The following is a 16,663-nucleotide window of genomic DNA, read 5'->3' on the forward strand; positions in this document are numbered from 1 at the left end:
ATATTAGAAAATTGTGAATATACTAGTATAAATAATTCTATGTTTTGAAACAACCTAAATTTTTTTATATCATTAGGGAAATTGCTAAAAAATTGGGATGCACCCATGTGATGAAATTTTTATGGAGTAGTTAAGATGAATAAATCATATCCACATATATCTACATGAATTTCTTAAAAATAATTTTAAAAATTGCTTTTCTGTTCTATTGAAATGGAAAAACATGTTGCTAAAGAAAACATCGAATAATTTGCCATTCATGTAAATTTAACATCACACAAGACTACTCTATTATTTATGTACATGAACACATACAATACAAAATTTAAATGCCAGGAATGATAAACATAAATTTCAGAAAAGTAGTGATTTTTAAAAATGGAATCAGAGATCAGTTGTAAAAGCTGGCATTAAATCATTTTTTAAAGATTTGAAATAATTATGGTAACTAGTCAACTTTTCAATATTTTGTAACAAGGTGATGTCTAATTAGGTGTTTGCTATCTTTTTTTGTTTTTGTGTATTTTAAATATTTCAATATTAAAAAATAGAAATATTAAAAATTCACATAAACTTGCGTTAACTTTTTCCTCATTTTGTAATGGGAAGATAAGCTGTTTGATTAACATGATCCTTGGCCATGTTGGTTGTTGGTCTTGGAATCTAAAAAATGGTGAAATGTGGCTCAGCAGTTGTTTCAGCCCAATGTGTCAATTTCATATTGTATCCTTCTTCCCAGGCCTTGGATACAGGAGATGCCCCATTACGGCCCTTGGGTGATGGCTGTCATGGGCACTGCGTCCTTGGATGGAGCGTGACTTTCTTTGGGATGTATAACACATATTCTGTGTATCTTGTACTCCTTGTCCTTTTCTCCCATCTTTAAATTATAACCTCAGAAAAGTCTAGTGTAAGGTCAGAGGTTTCACATTTTTCTCTTGGCCTTGCTTCTCTTTAATAACTGGAATCCCAGTTCCACCTCCAGGCAATTGTGTTGCTCCTGCTGAAGACCTCCAGGGAATGAAAGGCTGTGCAGGGGCTGGGCTGGGCTTGGAGACGGCATGTTGCAGAGTTAATTTTAGGAGTTCTTTTCTTAAATTAAGCATCTACGCTGGCATTTTTTTTTTCTGTTTCAGTGATTGTGACCTGGGTACACCAACCCAGCCTTTGATCTGTGTAAAGTGAAAACAGGTATATGAATATACAAACACAACAAAGGCTTGTCTTTGGGGGAAAGCTCTGCTAAAATGTGCATGCACCTAAACCATAAGCGAAACTATGTAATTGACAAGTTGTCACAATTATGGTTGGTAAGAGAGAAATTATATATCTAAAATGTAATTAAAATGCTCCTTGTAAGCTTTGATGACAAGTTCTTGGAGACCAAGAAGGAAATAATCTCAGTCAAACCAACCGATCTGGTTTACAGGTCTTGTCAATAGAAAATAGGAGACATTTTTCTTTTGAGACGATGAACCCAAGTATATCCCACATCGTCAATAGGTGACAATTTTTAGCAAGCGACAACACAAATGAATTAAGACAATTTGTATAGACTCTTGGGTAATTAGGAAGCCATTTATTGACGACTCAGTGTGATGCATAGGCACATACTGATTTTTTAATAAAGCAATTATATCATTCTGGTAACTCTGCCACCTCAGTCGTTCGGAACCTTATAATTATTTCTTTTACTCTTCTGCACTGTATGTGGCTATAGTTCATAATTGTATTAGCCCCAGCAGAATTTGGAGATGAGTTATAAAAGCTAAATGCAAAACCAAAAGTTGTGTGTTTCTTCTTATGGGGACGGTGAGAACTACATGTGGATTAACCTAACACCCAGTGGTTCAGGTTGGGTTCCTTCAGCACAAAGTGCAAAACAGGGACTCGGGAGCACATGATTTATTAAGGGAGGGTTCTGCAGGAAAACATGGAAGAACAGGAGTGGAGAAGAATAAGGAAAAGGAAAGAGCTCACCCAGCGTGTGGTCACAGGTACAGTCTAGCTGGGGTCTGAACCCAGGGAGAAAGCCGCAGGGCATAAATCAGCCTTTGAGGTGTATCCCACTGAGTCAGAGGGGCTGGATTCTGTTCCTCATATCAATCGCTCATTGACTGTGGGTCACACTCAGGTGAGGGCTGTGTCACTTCCTGATGATGCAATTTCTATCAATAGAGGACAATTCGTCAAAGAAAGAGGGTAGCTCCGCCTCCCTCTTAGCTAACAGCCAACACGCAAAACAGCTGGGGGTGGGGCTGCCAGCCTTGTGAAAGGAAACTGGGTGGAGCACCACATTGTCTATGACACTCCACCTAATGCGGAGTTCAAATCCGCTTATTCCTTTTATTAACTTCACACTGCCCATGATTCCATGCTCACAAGCCTTAGGAAAACATAAAAGGAGGATTGGTGGGGAATTTTATGCACCACTGTCACAGATGGCCCTGAGGCCATCACTGAAAATGTTTCCCTCCTCTATGACGGGTGCTAAATTCCTTGTACTCTTAACTAGTGTTTTGGCTGGTCTGGGTGGATTGCCTGGTGGTTGACCCAACTCTCAACCTTGATGGATCTGAAACCCTGGTGACCAAACCCTGAGCAGGCTCTGATTTCTTTATCTATCTATTATTGTTAAAACAGGGCATTGGACACTAAGAGATGCCCAGGTGGATTACCTGAGGGCGGCGTCACTTAGCAGGAGTGCTGCATGGACCTCATGGCGATCAGGGTGACACGGACTTCATAAATTAGCTACTGCTGTGCCTGCTGATTTTCTAGCACAAGGAGCCCCAAGTGATCTGCAACAGCCATTGCTTCACATTGAGAAGGATTCTTTTTATTTTCCTGGTCAGCAGCATCGCTGCCCCTCAGTAAAAGAGCCCCTAGACTCTTAATTAAGATTGGCCACAGAGCAAAAATTCTGGAGATGGGAAATATTAATTCCGCTAGTGGTCACTGGAGTGGTGGAGAGTGGGGCCATTTCTAGTCTTTTCCTTGTTTTTCAGACACAGCAATTGTACCTTTGAGGACATGACACCATGTGAAAACCATTGGTTTAATGGGAACATCCCGTCTGAAGGATAGTGTTTCATCCTCACAGGCCATCATCTCCAGGCTGGAACCTCAGCTCCCCTTTCAGAGGCCATTTCATCAGGCTTCCACCTCCTGGTGGTGGTATGTGGTAGGGTCAGTGGACCCAAGGTCCTGTTCCTACTGCCACAGCCCCTTTGCTGTCAGGGGGATTCCTTGGACTAGGATGATGTTACCCAGGATCCCATGACAGTCAATCAGACTCATAGTGAGGCCTTGGGTATTGTGCTGGGTGAAGCCCTGCAGGTAGGAAAGGCAAATCCAATCCCAGTAGGTGTCAAACTCAGTCAGCATGAATTGCTGCCCTTCTAGGAAGACTGGGTATGATATACTAGACTATCCCCCAAAATGGTGGGGTGGTCTTCTTGAGGGAGGTGCATATCAGGGGATTAGAATCAGCTTCGGTGTCTGACTCTGTTAGACACTCAGCAATGGTGATAGGTAAATCAGCTTTAGTGAGAAGGCCCTTATGTGCCTGGCTCTATGACTAGCCCCTGTCTCTACAACATGGCTATTCCATTCTTGACATCATTGCACAAACACCAAGTGACAAGGGCATGGGCTGGCTACCATCAACTGCCTGAGTCATCCTGCCCACTGGCTGTTGAAGGTCTCCTCCTCAGCAGTTGTCTCTGGTGTCAGGTATGAAGATCATCACACTTTCCCCACTCTTACAGATCCTCACACATGTCTCTTTCTGACCTTCTGGTCCCCAGTCTTCCAATATTTCTTCTTCCAGGACCCTGGCCAACCAGCTAAGTCATTTGCCACAGTCCATGGATTTATACCTATCTTTACCTTCAGTCATTCTTTCAATCAAGTCCTGTGCCTGGGCTTCAGCTCTGTTTGTCCTCTTGCTGTAGAAGATGGAGATCCCTTGCAATGATGCCCAGAAGGCCCTCTCACTCTCACACATTGCATTAAGTGACTGATGGTCCTAGACTGTCATCTTCTCTTTTCAAAGTATCATTGGCACTCAGCAATAGTCACTCAATTCCATAGTCTTCTAATTATAATCTCTCCATTGTCTTCCCAATGGCAAAGATATTGCACAAATCAGAACAACCCTCTCTACCTGTGTCTCATGTCAGTTCACTGCAGGTGAAAAGCCTTAGCAGTTTCACTGCTTCTGTGTGCCACTATCATTAATCCACCGACCAACAGTGATGGGGTCATTGTTGCCAACTGGATGGAAAGTGATCACACATCAGAATCCAGTTCTTAATGTTTGCTTCTTGGGTCTAGTTTTGGTACCAACAGTCTTAGGTCGAGTTTCTAAGAAGCAGAGTCTGAGACAGAGGTTCAGGTACACATGACTGTGGAGGCAATGCTCCTCAGGAAATACCTGCAAAGCAGAGAGTGACTCAGGAGAGAGAAGGAGAAAGCTGGACAAGGATATGTTCTTATGGAAATCTTCTCTTGGTGTCTTAGTGCATTTGGGTTGCTCTAACAAAATACCATAGATGGGGTGGCTTCCAAACAACAGACATTTATCTCTCACAGTCTTGGAGTCTGGAAGTCCAAGATCAAGTTGCCGGCAAATACAGTATCTTGCGAGGAACTGCTTCCTAGTTCATAGATGGTCATCTTCTCACTGTAATCTCCCATGGTAGAAGGGGCAAGAGATCTCTCTAGGGTCTCTTTTATAAGGGAACTAATTTCACTCATGAGGGCACCACCCCTGTTACTTTATTGTCCCTGAAGTGTCCCAGCTCCCAATACCATCACACAGGAGATTAGATTTCAGTATATGAATTTTGAAGGGGCATGAACATTCAGTCTGTAGTACTTGGTTTATGTGATGAGGGCTCTGGAACTTAGATCATACCAAGTTGATACCTGGATGAGGCTGGGGTCAGTCTTTTGTACCTCATATCTGTGAACCATTGGTGATGGGCCATATAACTTCCTAGGTGAGGTGCCATTAGCAGCCAACACTCACAGTAGTTGGTGGGCAGGTACCAGCCTGGTAGAGAGGATATGGGTGAGGCACTACACCCACATTGTAGGTTCAAATTCTAGTTCTATCACACACTGGTGGTGTAAGTTGGGCAAATTAATTCATGTCTGTGCTCTAATCTATAAAGTGCTACATAATAAACTTCCAATAATGTTAGCTTCTATTATTATTGTTATTATTTATTTTGTTGGCATTGTTGTTATTTACTATTTAATAGTGATTTTCAAGATGCTGAGTATGAACAAATCTTTTGAGATAAAGAAATACAGTTTTACTAAGTACGGTTGAAAGGCACAATTAACAGTGACAAGGTCAGTTCTCCAATGGCCCATATTCATTTGTTTTGGTAAGATGATACAATTGTTCAATACTCATGCTGTGTAAAATAATTAATGGCCTGTTGAATGAAATTTCTCATTAGCTAAACATAGGAGATAAATATGAGATCTACCAACAGGTCTGGCTTATAAGACAGAAGAACTTGGTCCCATGCCCAGACCAATCCCAGACACACTGTAAGACATTGGGATGATGACATCCATCTCCATTCCCATGTGGGTTTCATATCAAATGGTGACAAGCAGGAAACTGACATCTAGGAGTGTGATCTTGAACTGGGGCTGGTCAGCTGTAGGAAACAGAAAGCCATTTAAGCCAGAGCAAGAAAAGAGTTCTGAGTTCATCAAATCCAAAGAATGGCTTAAAAATTGTCCCAGGGAAGTCGAGAATCAAGGTGTCTCCAGGATTTCACCATCAGGAATGTCTGTTATATATCTTTGAGGATACAATTCAAATTCTAACTCTCTCAGTCTCTGGGTCTCTTAGTTCAAATCCTCAAGAACAGAATCTGATTGGCAGCTGCCCCAACAATATCTTGGCTCATGATGAGGCATTGGCCTGCCCAGGTCCAATCAGCTGCAGCTGGAGATGGCCCAGGCGGTGAATGGGAAATTAAGCATAGCAAGGGAAATGCTGGTTACCAGCTCTGCATTGAGACTGCACCACATGCAGTCATGAAGCTGCCTGCTTTCTTCATGGTAACCTTGTTGATAGGTATGATGACCTCATCTTATAGATATGGAGGTTGAGAGAGATAAGATTATTTTCAGCACTGCAGTTGGGAAGGCAAAGCTGGAATAACTCTACCTTATTTCTTTCAGGGTCTATGGAAGAAAGAGTCCCTGCCCCAACACAGTTCTTCTAGACTTATCAATACTGAGTTTTCTTTAAAGTGGGTAACAATGATTGATCCCCATGCTGTGATGGTAGATGGTCATCACACCAGCTTGTGTGAGCAAGTGTCTCTTCTGTGTGCCTAGGAAGCTTACCTTTTGGCTATGAGGATTCCTTGTCCACTACCAGAGAATACTGAGACAATGGCCCATGTCTCACCTTAGCCCAAGTTTCATTCTTGGGTCTCCCAAGGCAGATCTCCCCTGCATATGGGAAATAATTCTTCCAGCTTTAGCCCAACTGTCCAAGAGCCAAGAAGTGGAGCAGCTGTTCAACACGTCTTTAATTAATTTCTCCATGGACAGCCCCATAATCATTCATGATGCCTCAGGTCATGTGGTCATTCTGGAATACTGCTGGGAAAACTCCACTTTTTTCATGGTCTTTCTTGATGCTTATATTGTGCAGGGAGCTCTTTATTTCTGCTGGTTTTCTCCATCAATCTCATCACAATTGGCTCAGTTTCCAGAAATTCTTCAATGTTCTGGTCTTCTAACGGGATCATTGTATTTTCCACTACTGATAAGCATTTATTCTTACTTTGATATATCCTCTTTAATTTGGTAGAATTTTGAGAGACAAAGGCAGATGTGTGAGCTCAGCTGTTTTGAAGAGGAAGCCTTGGACCTCAGTCTACATTATTGATAAATGCCAGAAACAAGGCTTAGCTCTTCAATATACATGGACTTTTCTGTTTATGTGCTGTATTGTAATGGTACTTGAGTTTTTCGGTTTGTTAGTTTTGGCCTTAGGTGTTGGTGGTTTCCATTCCTTTTGTGTGAGGTTCCAACAGTGGAACCTCACAGGCACAGCCTCTGGAAAAAATGCAACATGAATTTTTGACAGTTGATCTTTTCTTTTCATCTTTTATTAATCAATGTATTTCTGATTAATAAAAGTTTCAAGAAGAAGGGTAGATTCTGTTACAGACAAAATGACAAGAAAACACAATTTCTCTTTTCTTTTCAAGAAACCTGTACATATTAATTGCCATGATCATGTAGGTAGTATGCTCTGAATGAGGAAATGCTTGACTCCTTTGCATGTGAAATATAGACATATTTTTCTAGACAGCAGAAAATAAGTATTTAGACAAAGCCTGTATCTTTTAGTCAACAGGAAATTTTATCTTGAGTCAACTGTGAAAAAAGTCAAAAGTGATCTTTAACTGCAATAAATGAAGCACGACATAGTTAGAACACTTTGCTCAGTTTTGGGTCCTGCGCTTGCGTTTTTTAAATCTTAAATTATTATAAGACCAATAGCCCATCATCTCCACCCAATCAATAGATCCTTGTCATTCTCCCCCAAAGCTTCTCCATTCCAAACACAATCTCTCCTTCCTTTCTAAAGTAATTACTTCCTTGACTTTTTATAAGAATCAGTTCCTTCCATTTCTCCCCAGCTTATTACTCATGTACATATCCGGGTACTAAGAATTTTTGAAATGTATTTTAAATTTCTCTTAATCTTAGTGTTCCCCACCATCTCTTTTACTTCCTTACAATTTATCTGGATTTTGAGAATTGCATTCTCCTGCTGCAGTTCAACATATTCCTCTGTCCTCTGTATTTCCTGCAAATTGGCAACTGAATCCTGAGATTCCATGAGACTCAATTCTTCCTCTGTAGCAGGTAGAATGAGGGCCCCCAAAGACATCCACATTGAAATCTCTGCAACTTGTGAATATGCTACCTTACATGGCAAAAGAGACTTTGCAGATTTGATTTATTTAAGGACCTTGAGATTGAGGAGGTTATCCTGGATTATTCAAGTGGACTTCACTGGGAACGTGGCTGAGGAACTAGACCTTTTGACTATCAACAATTCATTTAAAATGATTTGCATATGATTGGAGGATTATAATTGTTTATATAATTTACATCTTATTTCAGGAATGTAGTAGCCAATTAAACTGTCTTTAGTATCAGATTCTTGCAGGAAGACAGTAACAGTGAAATTTCCACTTGCTTTCTAGGAGTTGCTGTGAAAATAGAGGACTAATGTGTTCGCTAATCATATGTTAGGTGGAAAAAATGAGTGCTCTTTCAAAGAATTCCTGCATTAAGAAATGTATCTTTTACTTAAAGTTTAAAGATTCAATTTTCTCTCATCATTTTAAATTATTAATGCTATGAAAAATAATCTAGATGGGATAAAAGAATCCTGTTGATGAAGGCAAAAGACCCCACTTCCTTGACCTTTCTCTGGTAGAGAATTAGAATAGCAGCATCTTTTCTCAAAAGTCTCAGCCAGGATCATCCATGGCCACTGTCCTTCGGGTCATGGAAGGAGCCTGTGAGTCACTGTCACAGGCTACCCGAGCTTCCCTCTGTCACATAACAGCTGTGCGGCTTCAGGAGGTGACTCAGCCTCCATATTTTCAGTATTCTCATGGAGCGTCCTTCTGAGAGTTAACTGGTAGGGTCACGGGGCCCCTCTCCCACACATGTCACTGACTGACCACGTGATCATGTTGTGCCACTTCTGGTTCCTGCTCCTTGAACATGTGGGCTCAGCCATCCTCAATCCCCTGGCACCGCCTCCATCTTGTCCTACGTCAGTTCACTCAAAACTGTTCTTTAGAACTCCGGAGTCCCAGCTCTTCAGGAAGGCTAGGGGAACCCTTACGGCAACACCCGCTCCCTGGCTCGGCTGACTTAATAGAGTACCTGCTCTTAGCTGCCTCTCATGCTCTGCCCTGTGGTTGTGCATGGTCTTGTGTGTCTCCGCAGCTGGTCTGGAAGAATCTTGAAGGCAGGCACTCTGTTCTGCTGGATTCTGGCCGTGGTTGGATGTAATCAATGCTCTTGCTCCGTCAGTGAAGAAGGGAGTCAACCTAATGCCTGAACCAGAGGATACAACCCTTGACTTTAACCCTTAATCTTAGCATGGAGGACTTCTGTGACTAAGGAAAGGACTCCCCCTTCAATAAATAGTGCCGGGGTAATGATAAAGTATTTCAAAACAACTGTACTGATGTCTAAAATTTACTCTAAAATGTGTCAAAAATAAGATGGGTTGATAGTGAGATGTATGCATGCAAATTTACATATGTGATAAAATCCAAATAAATGTTTATAGTTGAAGCTAATAATGTGCATACAAGTGTTTGTTTTAACATATTTTCTCAACTTTATTGCAGGTTGGAACATTTTCGTAATAAAATATTAGGAAAAAGGAAGGTAAAGTGATGATATTTTAAGACAAACAAAAACTAGAAGAATTTATCACCAACAACATGCACTAAAAATACTAAAAGAGTTTTTCTAGCAGAAGGATAATGATTAAAATTATAATGATGCAAATGTAGAAATGAATGAGCACATGAAAAGGTAAATATTTGGACAAGTAGAAATCAATTTTGACTGAATAAAATAATAGTAATAGTAATTATATTATAGAATTTAATATATGTTGAATTAAATGCAAGATGGCAATACCAGTGGGAAGGGGTTGAAAGAGTTAAGACTCTAGCACTGTGGGGTAGTGTTAAAAGTATAATAAATCAAGGATGCATGTTATAAACTCTGCAGTGGCCACTAAAACAGTATACAACTGGTAATCAAATAGACAGAAAAAAAGAAAAAATTTAAAGCATTTGATTCATTCAGAAGCAGACAATAAAGGAGAGAACAGGAAACATAAAATACAGTGTTCAAATTTTAAAACAGTGAGATGATACAACATAAAATCAAATATATCAGTCATTCCTTTAAATATATATGCACTAAATACTCCAATTAAAAGACTTGCTTTGTCAGACTAAATAAAAAACCCATTGGCCAGGCGTGGTGGCTCATGCCTGTAATCCCAGCACTTTGGGAGGCCAAGGTGGGTGGATCACTTGAGCCCAGGAGTTCGAGACTAGCCTGGGCAAAATGATGAGAGTTCATCTCTACCAAAAATACAAAAATTAACCTGGCATAGTAGTCCTAGTGAGTGGGGAGGCTGAGGTGGGAGCATTGCTTGAGCCCGAGGCTCAAGTGAGTCGAGGCTGTAGCGAGCTGTGATTATGCCACTGCATAATGGGTAATAGAGTGAGACCCTGTCTCAAAAAAAAAATTTTTTTTTAAATAAGATTGAACTATATTCTACTGACAAGGAACATAACCATCAGAGTTGAAGAAAGTACAAAGGATGTGTCAGATGTATACACTGATATTTGTAAATCTTTACTTAGTGAAACTAAAGAACTAAGTAAACATCATATGCCATCTTCATGGACGGATGAGATATAAAGGTGTCAATAGTCCCTGTATTAGTGCAGTGTGAGACACACTGCCATGAAGAAATACCTGAGACTGGGTCATTTATAAAGGAAAAAAGCTGAATTGATTACAGTTCCACGTGGCTTCGGAGGCCTCAGGAAACTTACAATCATAGCAGAAGGCTAAGGAGAACCAGGTACCTTCTTCACAGGGCTGCAGGACAGAGTGAGTGCAAGCAGGGGAAATGCCAGATGCTTATAAAACCATCAGATCCTGTGAGAACTCACTCACTGTCATGAGAGCAGCATGGGGGAAACTGTCCCCATGATTAAATTATCTCCACCTGGTCCTGCCCTTGACACATGGGGATTATGGGGATTACAATTCAAGATGAGATTTGGGCGGGGACACAAAGCCTAACCATATCAGTCCCCAAACTGATGTATGTGTTTGATGCAATGCAATCTGATTAAGTTATTTTTTTCAAATGAAAAGGGAAAAACAAATATTATGATGCTAAAATTTTAAAAGACGAAGCCGTATCAAGTTTGACAGAAGTTGTGAAGACTGATTTTCTGTCACACTCAGGGTAGGAATGCAAATTTGTACCACTTTGCAAATCTGTTCATCAAGATCTACTCTGACCGCATGCATCCCCAACACTATGTAGGATATGTACACTATTACAATACTCTATACCTGGAAACAATAAACCTTAAGCAGAATGGATCAACATACCTGGTATACTCACACCACAGAATACTACACAGCAATATGAGTGAATGAATTACAACCACATGCAGCAACAGGGATGCTGGACTTGAGAGTGGATGGTATAGACATAGAGTTGATGGTTCAATGGCAATTTAGAAGCCCAAAATATTCAGAGTCCTCAAAAAATTCACAGAACTGGATCTGCTTATTAGCTTATTTGCATTTCCTGTGGTTGAAACATGTGATCGCTGATTAATTACCGAGCAGGTCCACAACTTTACAATCAATGAGTCCATTTACAAGTTTTAACTGAGCACCTACTGTGCTCCAGAATTATTCCTATATAGCAGCAAACAAATTCCCTTCCAGACAAAGTTTATGTTCTAGAACATGTCATTGCTTGGAAATGAAATCGGCATATGTGTATGTGTTACTGCAAAGTAGAAAGTATTCTCTAATTTTAGCTTCCTAGTCTGAGTTAATAGAATCGAAGTACCTAGAACTAATTAATTAATTTCTTTTTTGAGATGGAGTCTCATTCTGTCACCCGGGCTGAAGTGCAGTGGTGCCATCTTGGCTCACGGTAATCTCCACCTCCTGGATTCAAGCGATTCTCCTGCCTTAGCCTCCTGGGTAGCTGGGGTTACAAGCGTGTGCCACCACACCCATTTAATTTTTGTATTTTTAGTAGGGACAGGGTTTCACCAGGTTGACCAGGCTGATCTCAAACTCCTGACCTCAGGTGATCCACCTGCCTTGGCCTTCCAAAATTAATTAAATATTCTTTACTTGTCCAAGTTGGCTTATCCATAATGATGCTCATTGTTCCAGAAACTACTTTTGTAACTTTCATAGGCTGATTTTATATGTGTTTTAATCAGATGACTTCAGTTAAATTTTTTTCACTATAAGAGTATTTAATTATATGAATATCATGTTCGTTTTATGCTAAGTAATAAAGTCTACCAAATAGCAGGTAAAATAGAATTCAATATTGGTGAAATGAAAAGAAACAAATGAATGTAACAAAGATGAGAAAGGCAATGATATTAAACAGTAGTCTCCCTGAGTTGTAATATCTTCAGCTCATCTTCATTATCTTGTCTGCTTGTGCAAAAATTTATGCAATGCACATATACTATTTTGTAATAAGAACTAAAGTTTTTTTAAAACCAAGAACGAAGAGACCAATATTCATGGCTGGTTCTATTTTTGAAAAGGAGCTTCCTATTATGAACAATGGGTCTACTCTTTCATTTTTTAAAAGAAAAACATAATCATTAGTACTTGTAGCCATGTATGCATGCAATCATGCAGTCATTCACTAATTAAAAGACTTGTTTCATGTTGTTTTTTGAGGCCCACTATGAAATTAACTTCAAAGGATGAGGGGCAAGCATTTTAAACAAGAAGGCAGCTGAAGGCACTAGGAAATGAGCCAAGAGGCCTTCCTTCACTTTTGCTTCCAGTGGGCCACTCTCCTGGGTATCCGCGATAATTTCAAAGGGAAGCTGTTAATTCATGATACACTCAATGTGTCCATGTATTGTAGTGATTTTCCACATAGATCTATTCACAGTGGTGCCAAAGATTTTCCTTGCCATTTAAGCAGGTGCATCACTGCAATCCTAATACTGGCCATTCTCATTTCTATTGCTGCCCTCAGAGGCTCTGCTTGATCTCTTTGATGTAGGAAGGGTCATGAACCCCCATACCACCTGGGAATCTGCGTGACTCACAGCAGTGGCGGGGGTGGCAATGTGGTCAGTGGTCCTTGAAATGTGCTGTGTTTCCTGAGGCACATTTTTCCCTTAAGAAAGAGGTGCTAGTAACATGTTTGAAAACATTCTGCATAGGAGAATACAGAGTCTACTGCAGTTAGGACACCTGAGTAGTGATTTCTATGACACCTTCCCGTCGCTGGCCAGCAGAGCACTGGTTGAGTAGCAAGGCACAGTTCATTGTCTCACTCATGGCCCCCTCACCTCATTACGGTGGTCACTGACTGGTGGACACACTAGCTAACATCACCATTTCTATTTCCTTACAGAAGCCCACACGCTTCCTTTGTATTGCTTTGAGTAGCTTTTACGATGAGCTGCGTTTCTGTGTGTTATTGGACACACATTGTTTCCACGGGTATGAGGTTATATTGCTGTTTATGTTGTAGGAAACCACCTAGCTCCAGGAGTCACACACAATCTTCTGGAAGCCTCTATACTGCAGACACAGTCCTTTCTTCCCAGAACTCCCACCCATTTCTCTAAAAGTGCTGCCATGGCAAAAAATATTTGATTTTGCACCCTGCGCCACCGATGGAGGGAAGGGTATTCTTGAAGTTTACTCTCTGTTTTTGTGAACACAGCACAAAAAGCAAGGACTGGCATTTTGGGAGCACTGGGCCCCCAAGGCTCTGAATCCACCTGGCCCCCTTTAGTTCAACCATCTCATTTCTACACCGGGGGTTCCGTGAACCTGACATTGGTGGCCCAGGCCCACCTTTTCAGGGAGTTGCTGCCATAGCAGAAGGGAGGAAGCTGCTGCTGGCAGGTGGAGACCCGGGCTGTGGGTGAGTCTTCCCAACACGCATTCCTGCCAGAGGCAGGAGAAGGCTTCCCCTGGCACATGGCATGGGCTGCGGGTGAGCCTTCCCAACACGCATTCCTACCAGACGCCTGGGCTGCTGGTGAGCCTTCCCAGCACACATCCTACAGGAGGCAGGAGGAGGCTTCGCATGGCACGTGGCATGGGCTGCGGGTGAGCCTTCTCAATAGACATTCCTACAGGAGGCAAGAGGAGGCTTCGCATGGCACGTGGCATGGGCTGCGGGTGAGCCTTCTCAATAGACATTCCTACAGGAGGCAGGAGGAGGCTTCGCATGGCACGTGGCATGGGCTGCGGGTGAGCCTTCTCAATAGACATTCCTACAGGAGGCAGGAGGAGGCTTCGCATGACACGTGGCATGGGCTGCGGGTGAGCCTTCTCAATAGACATTCCTACAGGAGGCAGGAGGAGGCTTCGCATGGCACGTGGCATGGGCTGCGGGTGAGCCTTCTCAATAGACATTCCTACAGGAGGCAGGAGGAGGCTTCGCATGGCACGTGGCATGGGCTGCGGGTGAGCCTTCTCAATAGACATTCCTACAGGAGGCAAGAGGAGGCTTCGCATGGCACGTGGCATGGGCTACTTTTTCTCTCTGCTGCGAGTATTCATAGCATCTCAGGGATATGACTGGATTAGTGGTCTAGCTTGGTCTGTGTCTCTAATCAAGTTGTAAGGGGTTGGCATGGCAGGGTGTGTTACACAAATAAGGTAAATATTTATATTCCTTCAGGCTGGAGGAGGAAGACAAAGCATCTCACTTGGGGGTGTCCCTTAAAATAAATCATATCCACTTCTGGATCCAGCCACCTCCTGGAGGACGTGAGTACCCCCCAGGGCAGCCCTGACTGGATGGGGACATCCAGCCGTGTATCTGGTAGCTTGAAGCAGAGTCTCTTTTTCATCCTCCACATACGGAGGTGGACCCAATGACTTGCTCTTAACAGCAGCTGTGGGCTGAGCCAGGAGCAGCGTGCAGACAGGCTGCGTGGCATAAAGTTCTGGGTAAGAATGAATTCTTTGTAAGCGCAGTGTCTCATGTTTGATTTTTGCAACACTGAGGAACTTTGATGTCTTTTCACTCTAAGGCACAGCAATGGACTGGATGATTGCTCAGAGAGTGATAATCCCTGGTTCACTAAACTAACTGAATGAGATTTAGACAATTATTATTTATATATAAATTTGATATATATGTATACCAAACCCATTATTGCATATTCCGAAGAGTATCCTAATTACTTAAGCAGCTTGAAATTTAATTGTGTTGGATTTAAGCTAGTGAACCTGTTACTAATTTTCCAACCCTCCAACTTTTCCTTGAGTTATCTTTCAGTGTGGGCTTTTACTGATGGAGTTTGAGCAGATGGAGAAGCATGGTGCTCTCGCTGGACTAACTGAGAACCTTCCTTTTGTCCAGAGAGAACTTGTGTGAGGAGCATGACCAACAGAAGATGTGACTGGATTGTGAGGGGGTGATGCTTCTCTGGGTGACTTGAGAGCGAGTGTAGAGACAGGAAATAAACAAGGAAGATAGCAAGGTATCCATGATGGAAAAGATGCTATCTAGATAGGTTTTATAACCAAGGAGAGAGAAGAGACAGGAATTAAGAGTTACTGAGAGCTTCTAATTGCCAAGTATTGGCTGGTTGCCTTCTATCAATTCATTCTTCAGTCCTCAGTGACACTGGAGGCACACGGACACAGCTCCCGTCAGAGGTTCAAGAGAGTCTGAGTAGGAGCCTGAGGTCATACACTAAGTACAAGACAAGGCTCCTGCAACTCCAGATCCTGTGGCTTCCATTCTGCCCATTTCAGAGCTCATGTCTCCAGGGGCTGTGGCCACAGCTGGGCTCCCCTTGGTGTTGTCACCACCTGCACCCAAGGCTGGCAGGGCAGCAGTTCTTGGCCTTGTTTTGGGCACAAAAGCAGTAGGGGTTTGCTCTCACTTTAAACCAGGAACCTCAGCCCTGACAGTCCAGTTTACTGGTTCAACAGACTCCTTGATTTTCTCTCACAGGCAGATGAGAGCATTTCAATTTACCCCTCTCTTTTGGCTGGGCCGGAGCTTCTTAGGCAGAGATCTGGAGAGCTGAGCCTTTTCCATTCAGTTCCCACCAATGCACTTAGGTGGATGTAGTTAAACATTTATGGAACACCATGTATGTGCAATGTCACACTCTTGGACTTGCTTACAGTTGTTCTCTGCCCTTACACCATGGCAGGCAACCGTCTTACCACCGTCATTACTGTTAATTGAGAGAGGAACACTAATGCCGTATATTCCCTAGATTTTACAGTTTACGAATTGCTTTCCTGACTGCTTTCTTTGATATAAAACTCTTCCTTAGACTCTGATCTGGAATCACTCTTTATGAGGATTGGCAATTTTGGTCTAAAAATAAACAATCTGCAAGTAAAAACTAGACACAGTTTTAGAGTTGGGGGTAGAACTTGAAAATGTAAATGTTTTTGATTGCTTGTGATTGATAAATAGGATTTATAGTACTGAATTTTGGAAAATGGTATTTACCAAATTATTATCTTCACCTTAGAGAATTGGGCTTTTTTTTTTTCTTTCACACCAAAACGTACTGAAAGAACAGACCTTGAGAATAGAATGAATCAGCAGAGGAAGCACCTAAAGCAGAAAGAAGCTTTTACAGCGAAGACTATTTTGGGAATTTGGTTGGTTCCCTTTGTGAGGATAATTCATCATTTTTCTTCTTTTTTTTTTTTTCTAATGTGCGCAGCATTTTGTTAAATAGCATTTTGGTAAATTGCTGGCCTCCAATGTGATTACAAAATGAATTTTCTGAATTATAACCCACCAAACATTTTTATTATTCAA

At 41.8% G+C, this 16,663-nt stretch overlaps 2 annotated features.

Moving 5' to 3' along the window:
• Positions 1,529-2,728: an enhancer, noted in NCBI's record as "P300/CBP strongly-dependent group 1 enhancer chr5:5598283-5599482 (GRCh37/hg19 assembly coordinates)". NCBI's record gives its function as "activates an origin of replication core promoter dependent on BRD2, BRD4, P300/CBP, MED14 and CDK7 cofactors, with strong dependence on P300/CBP, by STARR-seq in HCT116 cells {active_cell/tissue: HCT116}" and the evidence as "EXISTENCE:reporter gene assay evidence [ECO:0000049][PMID:35650434]".
• Positions 2,055-2,349: an enhancer, noted in NCBI's record as "tiled region #1432; HepG2 Activating non-DNase unmatched - State 24:Quies, and K562 Activating non-DNase unmatched - State 2:TssF". NCBI's record gives its function as "activates a minimal TATA promoter and a strong SV40 promoter by Sharpr-MPRA in HepG2 and K562 cells {active_cell/tissue: HepG2 | K562}" and the evidence as "EXISTENCE:reporter gene assay evidence [ECO:0000049][PMID:27701403]".

The sequence above is a fragment of the Homo sapiens genome, chromosome 5 (assembly GCF_000001405.40).
Source record: "Homo sapiens chromosome 5, GRCh38.p14 Primary Assembly".
Taxonomy (NCBI): domain Eukaryota; kingdom Metazoa; phylum Chordata; class Mammalia; order Primates; family Hominidae; genus Homo; species Homo sapiens.